Source organism: Homo sapiens, chromosome 4, assembly GCF_000001405.40.
Source record: "Homo sapiens chromosome 4, GRCh38.p14 Primary Assembly".
In the NCBI taxonomy this organism is placed as follows: domain Eukaryota; kingdom Metazoa; phylum Chordata; class Mammalia; order Primates; family Hominidae; genus Homo; species Homo sapiens.
In genome coordinates, this window is record NC_000004.12 from 158,093,865 (window position 1) to 158,108,823 (window position 14,959).

The 14,959-nt window shown below is 36.4% G+C and overlaps 1 annotated feature.

The window, feature by feature from the left end:
- Nucleotides 262-1,461: an enhancer, noted in NCBI's record as "P300/CBP strongly-dependent group 1 enhancer chr4:159015278-159016477 (GRCh37/hg19 assembly coordinates)". NCBI's record gives its function as "activates an origin of replication core promoter dependent on BRD2, BRD4, P300/CBP, MED14 and CDK7 cofactors, with strong dependence on P300/CBP, by STARR-seq in HCT116 cells {active_cell/tissue: HCT116}" and the evidence as "EXISTENCE:reporter gene assay evidence [ECO:0000049][PMID:35650434]".

Here is a 14,959-nt window from a genome sequence, read left to right on the forward strand (position 1 = left end):
TGCAGGCATGAGCCACCGCGCCAGGCCCATTCTGAAACTTTCACGAGATCAAACGCAGACACCTGAGTTAAGGAAAGTGAGATGTGAGACAGGTAGAGATTTTGTGCCCGTTCGAGAAGCAAATGTATAATTTATGAACATCTTTCATCTCCACAAATGGTGAACATATTTTTTATTATTTTTTAACTGCAAAATATTCTCATTCTCATGAATTTGTTTAAGAGTCATTTACTTGCAAAATGTTGAGAAACCTGTGTTCTGTTCTTGGCAAATAACCTTGGCATTAGCAACTGCAGAAGCAGATGCTTGTCCACACTGTTATCCAGAAAGAAAAAAAAAACACTCCAAGGTCAGAACTAGCTGAAAAAACTACAGCAAACCACAGATGAAGAAAAATACAGAAAATGAATGATGAACAAGAAGGGTGGGAACCAGTGATTCTGCCTGAATTCCATTGAATTTAGTGGTGTGTATTACTTAGAGGAAGAAAGCAAGTAGCACCCACAAGCATTCATTATGATTAGCCTTTATCATGATAGTCTCACCTTGAATTGTAAAATTTTATTACACAGCTTTGTAATTAGGCTAAAGTCATCACACTAATGCCAGCTTTATGAAATATTGCAGAAGTTCTTCCTATTATTCATTGAGATGAAATAATTTTTTGAAGTGTGATTAAATCCAAGCTCCAATCAGAAAAGCAGATTACTCACCCTGATGATCAAGCAACAATAAAAATTTGTCCAATGTCAAAGAGCTGGAAACAAATAGGACACATTTACTGTTATAAAAGAAATCTCTGAAAATTTTAATGTTTGTTTCATCTGCACAAAACACACATCAAAAGAAATGCTACACAAATGCTGCACTTGTACAAATTTGTTTCGGTGTTTCTTCTTTCTACCTGTGTCAGAGGCATTGGAACTGGACTGGCTCAAGGTTGAACAGGGGCTGGATAAAATGAGGCTGAGACCTGCTGGGCTGCATTCCCAGGGGGTGAGGCATTCTTAGTCACAGGATGAGAAAGCAAGATACAGGTCACAAAGACCCTACTGATAAAAGAGAATGCAGCAAAGAAGCTGGCCAAAACCAAGAGAGCAATGAAAGTGACCTGTGGTAATCCTCACTGCTCATTCTATGCTAATTATAATGCATCAACAGGCTAAAAGACTCTCCCACCAGCCCATGACAGTTTACAAATACCATGGCAATGTCTGGATGTTACCCTAGATGATCTAGAAACATGGGAGGAACCCTCAGTTGGGGGAGCTCCCCACCCCTTTCTTAGAAAACTCATGAATAATCCACCCCTTGTTTAATATATAATCAAGAAATAACAACAAGTATACAGAGCAGCAGCCCATGCCGCTGTTCTGTCTATGGAGTAGCCATTCTTTTATTCCTTCACTTTCTTAATAAACTTGCTTTCACCTTACTCTGTGGACCTACTCTGAATTCTTTATTGTGCAAGACCCAAGAACCCTCTTCTTGGGGTCTGGATCAGGACCCCTTTCCAGTAACACCTAGATTTATAGAGTAGGCTAATCGTTGGCAAAGGAAAAAAATGAACATAATGTAAAGGTTATTCAGGATCAAAGCTAACATCTACCAAGTGAATAATTTGCTCTAATTGGAATGAATTCTGTGGAAGCATTTGGAAATGTAATGGTCTGTAAAAATAGTAAATAAATGCTTCCTGACCAACTATTGCAGGTGATTGAACAGTGATTTGATTTCGGTGCTTAGTAGTGCTTACTTCTGCCTATCTGACATTGCTTATGTCAACTTCGTTACGAATATCCAAGTTGATTTCCAGGTTTCAGATTCAATCTCTGTGCTTGGAGGTGGATTACAGAAAAGCATACATGGGGACCCAGTGAACATGTCAATTAGCCTGAAAGGAAGCACAATTTTTATTCCCTCCTATCAAGTTCAGGCAGGCAAATATCCTGACAGAGATTTAAGAGTTCCAGGAGGTCGCTTCTATCACTGGTCTCCCAGGCAAGGAAAGATGCTAGTTTTCACAGCTAACTAAAATGCTCTGAAAGCTGACCTTGGGCTGTTTCTTTTTCTTTTTTTTTTTTTTTAATTATACATTGAGTTCTAGGGTACATGTGCAGAACATGCAGGTTTGTTACATATGTATACATGTGCCATGTTGGTGTGCTGCACCCATTAACTCGTCGTTTACATTAGATATATTTCCTAATGCTATCCCTCCCCACTTCCCCCACCCCATGACAGGCCCCAGTGTGTGATGTTCCCCTTCCTGTGTCCAAGTGTTCTCATTGTTCAATTCCCACCTATGAGTGAGAACATGCAGTGTTTGGTTTTTTGTCCTTGCGATAGTTTTCTAATAATGATGGTTTCCAGCTTCATCCATGTCCCTACAAAGGACATGAACTCATCCTTTTTTATGGCTACATAGAATTCCATGGTGTATATGTGCCACATTTTCTTAATCCAGTCTATCATTGATGGACATTTGGGTTGGTTCTGGGCTGTTTCTTAACCTCTCCTCCAGCAGAATGGGATTGGAGGGTGCTACCAGCACACAGGCCCAGGAGCAGAGGTGGGAGATGGCTATTGCTTCACTTCTTCACTTACCCAGACTGAAATGAAAGCTCATTTTCTTCAGTTTGGATGATTGGAGATATTTTAAAAAAAATGAATGGCAATAAAATCTTCAACAAGGGGGCATTTCATAAAGTAAAATTTTGGATTCAAATTTTACTAATATTTTGGCTGTAGATTACACACAGTTCGTGCAATAGCTATTCCCTAATTACTATACTTTTTTTTTTTTTTTTTTTTTGAGACGGAGTCTCGCTCTGTCGCCCAGGCTGGAGTGCAGTGGCGCGATCTCGGCTCACTGCAAGCTCCGCCTCCCGGGTTCACGCCATTCTCCTGCCTCAGCCTCCCGAGTAGCTGGCGCCCGCCACCACGCCCGGCTAATTTTTTGTATTTTCAGTAGAAACGGGGTTTCACCGTGTTAGCCAGGATGGTCTCGATCTCCTGACCTCGTGATCCGCCCTCCTCGGCCTCCCAAAGTGCTGGGATTACAGGCGTGAGCCACCGCGCCCGGCCTTACTGTACTTTTATTAGGGAGCCACTTGATACTTTAATTCTACTTTTCACATACCACCTAGTGTGTTCAAGATGCTCGACTTCTTAAGGGCAGATTTTATTTTATTCATCCATGTCGCCTCCACAGCATCTGTTTAGCACCGTGCCATAAACAAATGCTTGTTGCTGCTCTCAGGTCTCAGCACCACATCTCACTGATATTTCCTCACCTCTTGTGATGTAGAAATCAGATCCTATATTCCTCGGGTGTATTAGTTTATTCCATTAGTTTATTCCAGGATTTATTTATTTTCTTCCAGTCCCCATTTCCATCCATTTTCTCCAGTCCTATTTTTTTTTTCCTTTGGTCAGTCCTACTGCCTAATGATTAGACAGGTGACAGAAAACATGCAAGTATGGAAGATCATCAATAAATATGCATCATTTGATTGACTGAAAGTCATCAGAGGAGGCAGAACAAGAAAAGTCAAGGACGGTATGACAGAAACAAAAAACTATATAGAACATAAGACAAAGTGGTACCTTAGGGATGTCTGATCATCCTCTAAACACAGAACAAGAACTCCCTATATAAAATACAATAATCTAAAATTTACCATACAATTTGGTCTTTGTGTTCTGTGTGTCAGAGGCCTACCATCATCTGTGATATTCACAGACTCTTGTCAGTGAAAAGAAAGAAGCCCCAGGCATTCTGTTGGGAGCTTCACTAAAATATCCCCACCAACACGAGGTGCTTTCTCATTAAAGTCTCAGGAGTTTCTGTTTTTAAGGCCAGAAATCTTTTTTAAAGAATTTTTTTTTAATTTACCTCTTCTCTTGACCAAATAAGGATATTCTTCCACAGAATAAACTGGAATATTGGCACGTTAGTCTCTTTGACAAATTCATGAATCCTTGAGAATTAAGAAGGTTAATGTAATTAAGTTAACCCCAAGTTAAGAAAGTTCATTAGGAAAATTATAAATCCATATTGTTTATATTTTCATTGTTAAATATGGCTCTTTATAATAATAAAATTCTGCACTATGGTGATAGGTATCACATAAAAATGCATAACTTATCTAATGGATCATTCCGTAAAATATAATAGGAGATGAATTCAAGGCACTCTTGGCTTTCTCATTGGTTTGGTCACACATCATGCAAACAAGTATTTACAGTGTTAATTATTCTCCCTTGTCATGAATAGATCTTCCTCTAGGGCTGAGATAGGGAAAGATGCAGGGAAAAGGATATGGAGCATTGAAAATTACTGTAAAAACCATCATTCTGAGCAAACTATCACAAGGACAGAAAACCAAACACCGCATAATTCTCACTCATAGGTGGGAATTGAACAATGAGAACAACTGGACACAGGGTGGGGAACATGACACACAGGGGCCTGTCGTGGGGTGGGGGGAGTGGAGAGGGATAGCATTAGGAGATATACCTAATGTAAATGACGAGTTAATGGGTGCAGCACACCAACATGGCACATGTATACATATGTAACAAACCTGCACGTTGTATACATGTACCCTAGAACTTAAAGTATAATGAAAAAAAAAGAAAATTACTGTAAAAATATTAGATTTTTCAAGTTAAGTGAATTTTAAAGTTAATTTCTTATCGTCTTAAACCACATTTCAGTATATAAAGTCATGTGGCACATAAGGACATTTCGCCAACACCAGACCACATATAACAATGGTGGTCCCGTAAGATTAAAATACCACATTTTTACTATGTTAAGCTCACTAATGAATAGTCATAGTCAATTCTCAGTCCTCAGACACAGCTTCCTCTGCTACTTTTTTTTACTTTTTCCACTTGTCTCATTGGCTACTTTTTTTTTTTTTCAGACAGGGTCTCACTGGTGCAATGACAGCTTACTGCATCCTTGACCTCCCAGGCTCAAGCAACCCTCCCACTCCAGCCTCCTGAGTAGCTGGAACTACAAGCACATATCACCATGCCAGGCTAATTTTTTTCTATTTTTTGTGCAGACAGGGTCTCACTGTCCTGCCCAGGCTGGAGTGCAGTGGTACAATGACAGCTCACTGCACTCTTGACCTCCCAGGCTCAAGCAACCCTCCCACTCCAGCCTCCTGAGTAGCTGGAACTACAAGCGCATATCACCATGCCAGGTTAATTTTTTTCTATTTTTTGTACAGATGGGGTCTCACTGTCTTGCCTAGGCTTGTCTCAAACACCTGAGCTCAAGTGATCCTCCTGCCTCAGTCTCCCAAAGTGCTGAGATTACAGGCATGAGACATTATGCCTGGCCAGCTACTCTTTTTCAGACTCCTCCATGACTAATAAACACCCCAAACTTAAAATGCCCGGAAGTAAACTTCCTCCCCCAACCCCTACCCCTACAATACTTGCCTAACCTGTGCTATTTTCTGTCTTGGTCGTTGTTGATGCTTCTGTTTCTCTGAGACCAACATACAGTCTGTTAATTCCATCTTCAAAATGTGTCAGGCATCTGACCACTTATGTTTACTGTCACTGCTCTCACTGTGATCCAAACCACCGTCATCATTCACCTGGATCACCAAAACCGCTTCCTACCTGGCCTCCCTGCTTCTGCTCTTGTTCCCTACAGTGTATTCAACAGACATCAACCAAAGTGATCCTATTGAAAAAGAAGTTAGGTCCAGTCACCTCCTTGTTCAAAATCCATCAGAGTAAAAGCCCAAATCCTTACAAGGGCACATAAGTCCCCACATGGCCCGGTCCTTTGTCACTTCTCTGACACCATCCTTTGCAACTCTCACCGTGGCTCCCTTTACTGCAGCCATGCTGACCTTTTGTTTTTTCCAGAACAAAGCAGTGCCCCTCAGGACATTTGCAGTGGATGTTCCCTTCGTTTGGAATGCTCTTCCCCCAAATGCATGTGTAGTTCACTTCCTCACTGCTTTCCAGCATTTCCTAAATGTTCACCTTCTCACTGAGGTCTTCCAGAATCACCCAACTTACAATTAAATCCCCCGGCTGTAGCACTGCTGATCTTTCACTTCCTCACGTTGTTTTATTTTTTTTCTCATTCCACTTATGACCAGTTAACATTCTGTGTTACTATTTGTTCAGTTTATCATCTGCCTTTCCCCACAACAGTGTAAGCTTTAGGCACATTTATAAGCTGTTATTTGTAAATTAGGCACTCATTAAATATATTTAATTAATAAGTAATTAATGTGCAACAGGAACACAGTATTTTTCCACAAAAGGCTGAAAAGAGTACTCTTAAATGTCCCTGATCTCTCTATATATTTGTTCTTCTTTCTTGTCACCAATTTTTCCCTTGCCTCAATTTTTCTCTCCCAGTGAGTGTCTGACAGGACATGCATCTTCAAGGCTTAGAAACCGCTGATCTAAAGCCCAGCGTCAGATCCACTTCACCCATCTCACAAGAGATTCGGTCTCTTCTCAAGTGTCCTCAGAAGCAGAGAATTTATGTACAGCTCTATTGTGAAAGGGTTTATAAAATTAACATGAAATTAGGATTGCTATAACTTCCAAACAACAGTTCTGTTTTTGTTTTTGAGGAAAGCTTTGAATAATTCTTTACCCTCTTCCACATGAAATCTCTTCAAGTATTAGAACAGAAAAAATATATTCCTTTTGATTCCAAAGTCTTCAAAGTAGCATCCATTCCTCATATTAATTGAATGATTTAAAATTTTAGAACATAAAATTTAATCTAGAGTAATTAGATCTCCCAATAAGATACAACTATAGAATTAGAAGAGGTGGAAGCTGTACTAACATGCAACATGAACAAAATAAAGCCTGCAGAAGTTGGGCGGACTTGTCCAAAGTCATCCACAAATGGTCATGTTGGCATCAGTTTCAGGTAAAGTGAATTTCCCTAACCCCCACCCCAAGCAGTGTTCTCTCCACTACACCGTATTTCCTCTCACTTGATTACTTTAACCAAAGTTATTCTATTTTGTCAGTATAGCTAGTGGATTATAATAAAGACTGCTGTTTTTCTAGAAATATCTAAACCATCCTCTGAGAAGGCCAAGGTAATCCATCCATGGACGCAGCATTGCCCCTCCCTTATTCTGAGGTATTGCTGAAATTCTTTCCATAAGCAGAAAGCTCAACTGATTAGAATTCTTCCGAGATTCAAGATCCAAACTAAAGTTATGAATAAAAATGCAGTATTATTCAAAGAAGAAGGCAGATAGCAAACTCCTGAGCTAAATAAATTTTTTTAAGGTTCAGGTTTTAATATTAGCACAGTTAAAAACTACACACATTTTCAGGAAAAATAAAAGTTACTGAGATATTGTCTTTAAATATACAAAATCTAAAGCTAAATAAACACTCATAAAGAAAAACCTGCAGAATCCAGGGACAAAAAGCTTAGAGGTAAAGAAATAATAAATAAACGAAGAACACATTTAAATCAAATACTTATGAAGAGAATTTGATACCAATACTTAGTATCAAATACCAAGTACTTTATAATCAAATACCTATGAAGTCTCACCAATATCCTGTGCATTCTCAGGATCTTAAATCTGAGCAAGAACCAAAGCTTTTCTTGAGTAGAAGAGATTCGCCAGAGGGAAGCAATCAATAGAGGATAGGTGATGTGGAAGATGCAGGAGTGCGGAAAATGCCTGCCTGAGGGGAGGATCCCGCTTCTATTCTTTTTCAGAATTAACATTTATAGCACTTTCTCTATGCTGGTGGCTGTGTTCTAGGCAATTTAAATACATTATCCTATTTAATCCTCACAACAGTCCAGTCAGCTAGGTATTGCTATTTTTATTCTCACTTTACAGATGAAGAACTTAGGGTTCAGTAGTTTGGCAACTTGTCCAAAGATACCAGGCAAGGAAGTGGCCTAACTGGGATTCAAACTCAGAACTTGTCTAGCCTCAGTATTGGATTCTTCACCACTATGCTTCATTGTCTCTTGGTAAATTACTAAACAATTAAAACATCCACCTTCCCAATCATTTCCTAAGGAAACACTGAACCTCCAAGTTTCCCAGTCACCCCTCAGGGACTAGATTCCCAGGCCTACTGCTCACTAGCTTTGTGAAATTGAGCAATGTCCTTAACCTCTCTGGGCACCATTTTCTTCATCTGTAAAATATCGTAATAACATCTCACAGAGTTATTATAAAAATTAATTGCATTAATATATGGGGGAGCGTAGCCTCCCAGTTAAGAACACTGGCTCTGGAGTCTGACACTTGTTTGAATCCAACTCTGCTTTCTATATTTGTTGTGATCTTAGGGGAGCTGCCTATTTTTCTCAGGCTTAGTCACCTTGCCCATGCATCAGAGACAATAATAGCACTTTCCTCACAGGTGGATATAAGGCTTAAAAGAGAAAATCTTTGCAAAGTATCTGGCACACAGAAAGTGCTCAATAAACCTGGCAACTACAAAGATTAGTTTTTATTAATATGAGTAAATAAAACATGGTTTACTAGGCAGGTGATAAAATAGAAATGTGCAACCTAAAAAAAAAATGACAGTATGAAATTAACATTATACCAAGGGCAATAATATTTATAATAAGATGACTAAAATTGATTTAATTAAAAGCAAGGAATCTCAAATTGAACTGCAAAAGCAAATTTAGAGATTTGCTACTTATGGAGATATATCTAAAGTCAGATGATACAGAAATATTAAAAATAATAATGTTGACAATAAAATATATGTGTCATGAGTAGGAGAGCATAGAAAAAGAATATAAAATAATGTCTATGTGAACTAAATTGGTGGTAATATTACTAAAGTGAAAAACATTAAAAATAAATCAGTCTATGGTCAGAAACAAAATAAAATTTTAAAAGTCATTGGGAATTCTAAAAATGATTTTAAGAGATAACATTAACAGTTACATATAAAATTTTCTAAGATTCAGATAATATATCAATTTCAACTACTCATGCAATATTTACCAAATATAATAGCATGCAAAGAAAATAAAAAATACTATAAAGACCACATTTGATTTTTTTTCAGTTCTGATGCAGGGCAGGCGAGCCCCAAAATTGGGGCGTAGCCTGGGAGGATTCTTGACTTCGCCCAGAAAAGAATGCAAGGAGGAGCCAGTGGTGTTGGACAGCAATTTTTATTGAGAGGGCAGTGCACAGCAGCAGCAGAGGTCCTGCTCCTTATGGAGCAGGGTTACCCCACAGGCAGTGTGCTAAGTGTAGCACTCAGAGGCAGTTCTGCAGTTGTATTTATACCAACTTTTAATTATGTGCAAATTAAGGGGCAGATTATGCAGAAATTTCTAGAAAAGGGCTGGTAACTTCTAGGTTGTCAGGTCGTTGTCATGGAAAGGGGCAGTAACTCCTGGATGTTGCCATGGCAATAGTAAACTGACATGACATTAGCAGGTGTGTCTTATGAAAAGGTGTTTCTATCCTGTCCCTGTTTTAGCTCAATTTAGTCCAGTGTCCAAGCCCCTCCTCTAGAGTCACATTCCACCTTCTACCTCAGTTCTATAAATCTAAAAAATTGTTTTCTTCACTTAACAGAGTTAACACCTCATCAGTTTAATGGAATAAAAGCAAACTTAAAAATTAAGATAATCATGTTTCTTAACACTGAGTGAAATCTCTGGAGCCAAGGTTGAGTATCTTTGATTTGATCTGCGTTGTAATAGGGAGAGACAAAGGGTCCCAAGATCAAACTAACATATCAAGAAGCAGATTAGCTGTAATCCTCATGTTAGATATATTGGGCATGTGCCCTAGAGGTAAAAAATTTTCTTTAGGTAGTTTGAGTTTTTTTCTTTGTCCACTTGCCTGCAGTGAGTAGCAAAACTACATAGGAACAAATGTATTTACATATTAATTTCTAAAATATTTTCATATGCTTAATTTGCGTTCTGTAATTGCTAAAGTTCCTAAGGAATTGGTTTTAGACCCACTTCTCATCTGTCACTATTCTCTTTACTTAGAAAATTTCTCTTTTAAAGATATTCTTAGTGTTCTGCAGTGTTTCTTCACTGCACATATACTGAATTATTTATGTTGATTGAGATTTTGGTTTTTTCTTCAATTTGAGGATGTACACCTTTGATCAATTTTGAAAATTCATAGGCATTTTCTCTTCAATTACTGTCACTTCTCCCTTCATTCTATCCTATCTTTTTGGAATTCCTAACAGAGGTGTATTAGTAATTCTACTGCTTTCTTCATAAAGAGATTAACTTTAATCTCTCTTTAATAATAGCCATCCATTTGTCTATAATCTGTGATATTTTCTTGGCTCTATCTTCCAATTTCCTAAGTTTCTGCCTAGTAATAACCTACCAATTGATTTCCATTGTCTTTGTAATTTAACTTATTATAATTATTTCAAGAATTCTGTTTTTTCACTGTCTGTTGTTCTGTTACATGTTAATTTCTTACAACATTTTTATCATTTTCCATATTACCATTATAGTCTGCTTCAGATTATTTATTCATTCAAATAATTACAGTGATAATTTTCCTTTTTATTGTGTCCGTAATCTTTGGTTCGTGGCAAATGAATTGTTTACATGTTAATTTTTAATTATGTACTTCTTTCTGTGGGGCTTGCTTTTCTTGCTGGTGTTTTCCATACTTAGCTTGTAGTGAGAATGACCATCCAGAGAAATTTTACATTAATTCTATGCCTCCCAAGGGTATCCCAAGGGTCAACTTTTATATTACTCTCTCAGTTGGAGGGTTCTGACCTTCTCGGGTACTACAAATTTGTACTCCAAACCAAAATGACATAGGTTCATTTGATTGCTTAGAGACTTTTTCCTAGACACTAGACAAATATGAGCTTCCATATCAAATGCTGGGTCAATGGGTGGATATTTGATGCCCACCTTTCACTGAAGCTTCAATTTACTATGATCCGGACTTTACTGAAGGAGTTTTTCATAAAGAGCTCTGAATATTTGCCTTGGGAAGTCCATACATAGGTATTAAAATGCAAGCCCCATGGCTATTTCCAGGTGTAGTAGCACTCCACCTCCGTTACCAAAACTACCAAAGCATCCACTCCATGCTTACTGAGTTTCATTCCTTAAAAAAATATGTATATGCATACACACACACACACACACACACACGCACACACAGGGATATATATATATATCTCAAATGGTAGGTTATTACTAGGCAGAAACTTAGGAAACTGGAAGACAGAGCCAAGAAAATATCACAGATTATAGAGAAATGGATGGCTATTATTAAAGAGATCTTAAAGATAATCTTTTTATGAATATATCCTCTTTATATATATATATCCTACTGTGTGTATATATATATCTAATATATATAATGTAACATATGTAATATAATATATATATCCTAGAGTGTGTGTGTGTGTGTGTATAGATAGATATATATACTTTTTTTTAAGGAATGAAACTTAATAAGCATGGAGTGGATGCTTTGGTAGTCTTGGTAATGGAGATGGAGTGTTACTACACCTGGAAATAGCCATGGGGCTTGGATTTTAATACTTATGTATGGACTGTCCAAGGCAGATATTCAGAGCTTTTTATGAAAAACTCCTTCAATAAAGTCCGGATCATAGTAATTTGAAGCTTCAGTGAAAGGTGGGCATTAAATATCCACCCATTGACCCAGTATTTGACATGGAAGCTCATATTTGTCCAGTGTCTAGGAAAAAGTGTCTCAGCAGTCAAATGAACCTATGTCATTTTGGTTTGGAGTACAAATTTGCAGTACCTGAGAAGGTCAGAAATCTCTAGCTGAGGGAGTAATATAAAAGTTGACCCTTGGGATACCCTTGGGAAGTGTGGAAGAAATGCAAAAATTCTCTGGATGGTCATTCTCACTAATAGCTAGATATGGAAAACACCAGCAAAAAAAAACAAGCCCCACAGAAAGAAGTACATAATTAAAAATTAACATGTAAACAATTCATTTGCCATGAACCAAAGATTACAGACATATATATATGTATCTCCTTATTGTAGTGTGTGTGTGTGTGCGTGTGTATATATATGGAATATATATATATCTATGGAATATATATATATATCTATGGAATATATATATCTCTATGGAATATATATATATATGGAATATATATATATCTCTATGGAATATATATGGAATATATATATATCTCTATGGAATATATATATATATCTCTATGGAATAGAGATATATCTATGGAATAGAGATATATCTATGGAATAGATATATATCTATGGAATAGATGAGATATATCTATGGAATAGATGAGATATACCTATGGAATAGATGAGATATATCTATGGAATAGATATCTATAGATATATATCTATGGATAGATTTCTATAGATTATATCTATGGATAGATAAGTATAGATATATATATCTATGGATAGATATGTATAGATATATATCTATCTATGGATAGATATGTATAGATATATATATCTATGGATAGATATGTATAGATATATATATCTATGGATAGATATGTATAGATATATATATCTATGGATAGATATGTATAGATATATATATCTATGGATAGATATGTATAGATATATATATCTATGGATAGATATGTATAGATATATATATCTATGGATAGATATGTATAGATATATATATCTATGGATAGATATGTATAGATATATATATCTATGGATAGATATGTATAGATATATATATCTATGGATAGATATGTATAGATATATATATCTATGGATAGATATGTATAGATATATATATCTATGGATAGATATGTATAGATATATATATCTATGGATAGATATGTATAGATTTATATCTATGGATAGATATGTATAGATATATATCTATGGATAGATATGTATAGATATATATATATCTATGGATAGATATCTATAGATATCTATCCATAGATATATATCTATAGATAGATATCTATGGATAGATATGTATAGATAGATAGATATCTATGGATAGATATCTATAGATATATATATGGAATAGATAGATATCTATAGATATATATATGGAATAGATAGATATCTATAGATATATATATGGAATAGATAGATATCTATAGATATATATATGGAATAGATAGATATCTATAGATATATATATGGAATAGATAGATATCTATAGATATATATATGGAATAGATAGATATCTATAGATATATATGGAATAGATAGATATCTATAGATATATATATGGAATAGATAGATATCTATAGATATATATATGGAATAGATAGATATCTATAGATATATATATGGAATAGATAGATATCTATAGATATATATATGGAATAGATAGATATCTATAGATATATATATGGAATAGATAGATATCTATAGATATATATATGGAATAGATAGATATCTATAGATATATACATGGAATAGATAGATATCTAGGAATAGATATATGTGGAATAGATAGATATCTATGGAATAGATATATGTGGAATAGATAGATACCTATGGAATAGATATATGTGGAATAGATAGATATCTATGGAATGGAATAGATAGATATATATGGAATAGATAGATATATGTGGAATAGATAGATATCTATGGATAGATATCTATTCCATAGATAGATATCTGTGGTTAGATATCTATTCCATAGATAGATATCTGTGGATAGATATCTATTCCATAGATAGATATCTGTGGATAGATATCTATTCCATAGATAGATATCTGTGGATAGATATCTATTCCATAGATAGATATCTGTGGAATAGATATTTATTCCATAGATAGATATCTGTGGGATAGATATCTGTGGAATAGATATCTATTCCATAGATAGATATCTGTGGAATAGATATCTATCTATGGCATATATATATATCCTAATGCCTGGGGATTTTCTTTCTTTCCTATGCTCTCAGCATTAACTGTATAATCTTGTTATATTTTATCAATTATTTCAAAGATAGTGCAGGACTTTCTGTGTTTATTTGATATACCATTTTGATGTAACCAAAACCTCCTAAATGATTTCTTCCACTTTCATGAATTCTAAATTTCATCTATATTCCAACAACTTCCAAATTATATTTCTAACCCAGTGGTTCTCAGTTGGTGGTGGTGTTTATCCCAGTGGGTATTTGGCAGTGTCTGAAGATATTTTTGGTTGCCATAACATGAGTGGGCTACCTCTGGTTTCTAGTGGGTAGAGGCCAAGAATACTGCAAAACTTCATAAAATGCCCAGGAGAGTCCCCACCCAAAGACTTATCTTGGCTCAAAATGACAATAGTGCCAAAGTTGAGAGACTGCTTTTTTTTTTTTTTTTTTTTTTGAGACAGCGTCTGGCTCTGTCGCCCAAGCTGGAGTGCAGTGGCGCGATCTCGGCTCAGTGCAAGCTCCGCCTCCTGGGTTCACGCCATTCTCCTGCCTCAGCCTCCCGAGTAGCTGGGACTACAGGAGCCCGCCACCGCTCCCGGCTAATTTTTTGTATTTTTAGTAGAGACGGGGTTTCACTGTGTTAGCCAGGATGGTCTCGATCTCCTGACCTCATGATCCACCCGCCTCGGCCTCCCAAAGTGCTGGGATTACAGGCGTGAGCCACCGCGCCCGGCCGAGAGACTGCTTTTGAATCTCCATTTGAATGCATATTAACATATGTTAAACAGAGTCGTGTTTTTGTTTTTATTCACCAAACCTATTTCTCCCCTGACCTTTCCCAACACACTTAATGGCACCGTGATGAAGCTGATTGCTCAGGTCACAAACCTGGTAGTTTTTCTTGAAACCTTGATAGCCCATTCTAGTTGATTTTACCCCCTAATAATACCTCATTTTTTACCTCCACTACCTCTAGCATAGTCTACCATCTCTCACTAGGGCTACTGGATATGTTTCTAGTCTGTCTCCACTTTTTTCCGTCTTGCTTACCCCAGTTCATTTTCCA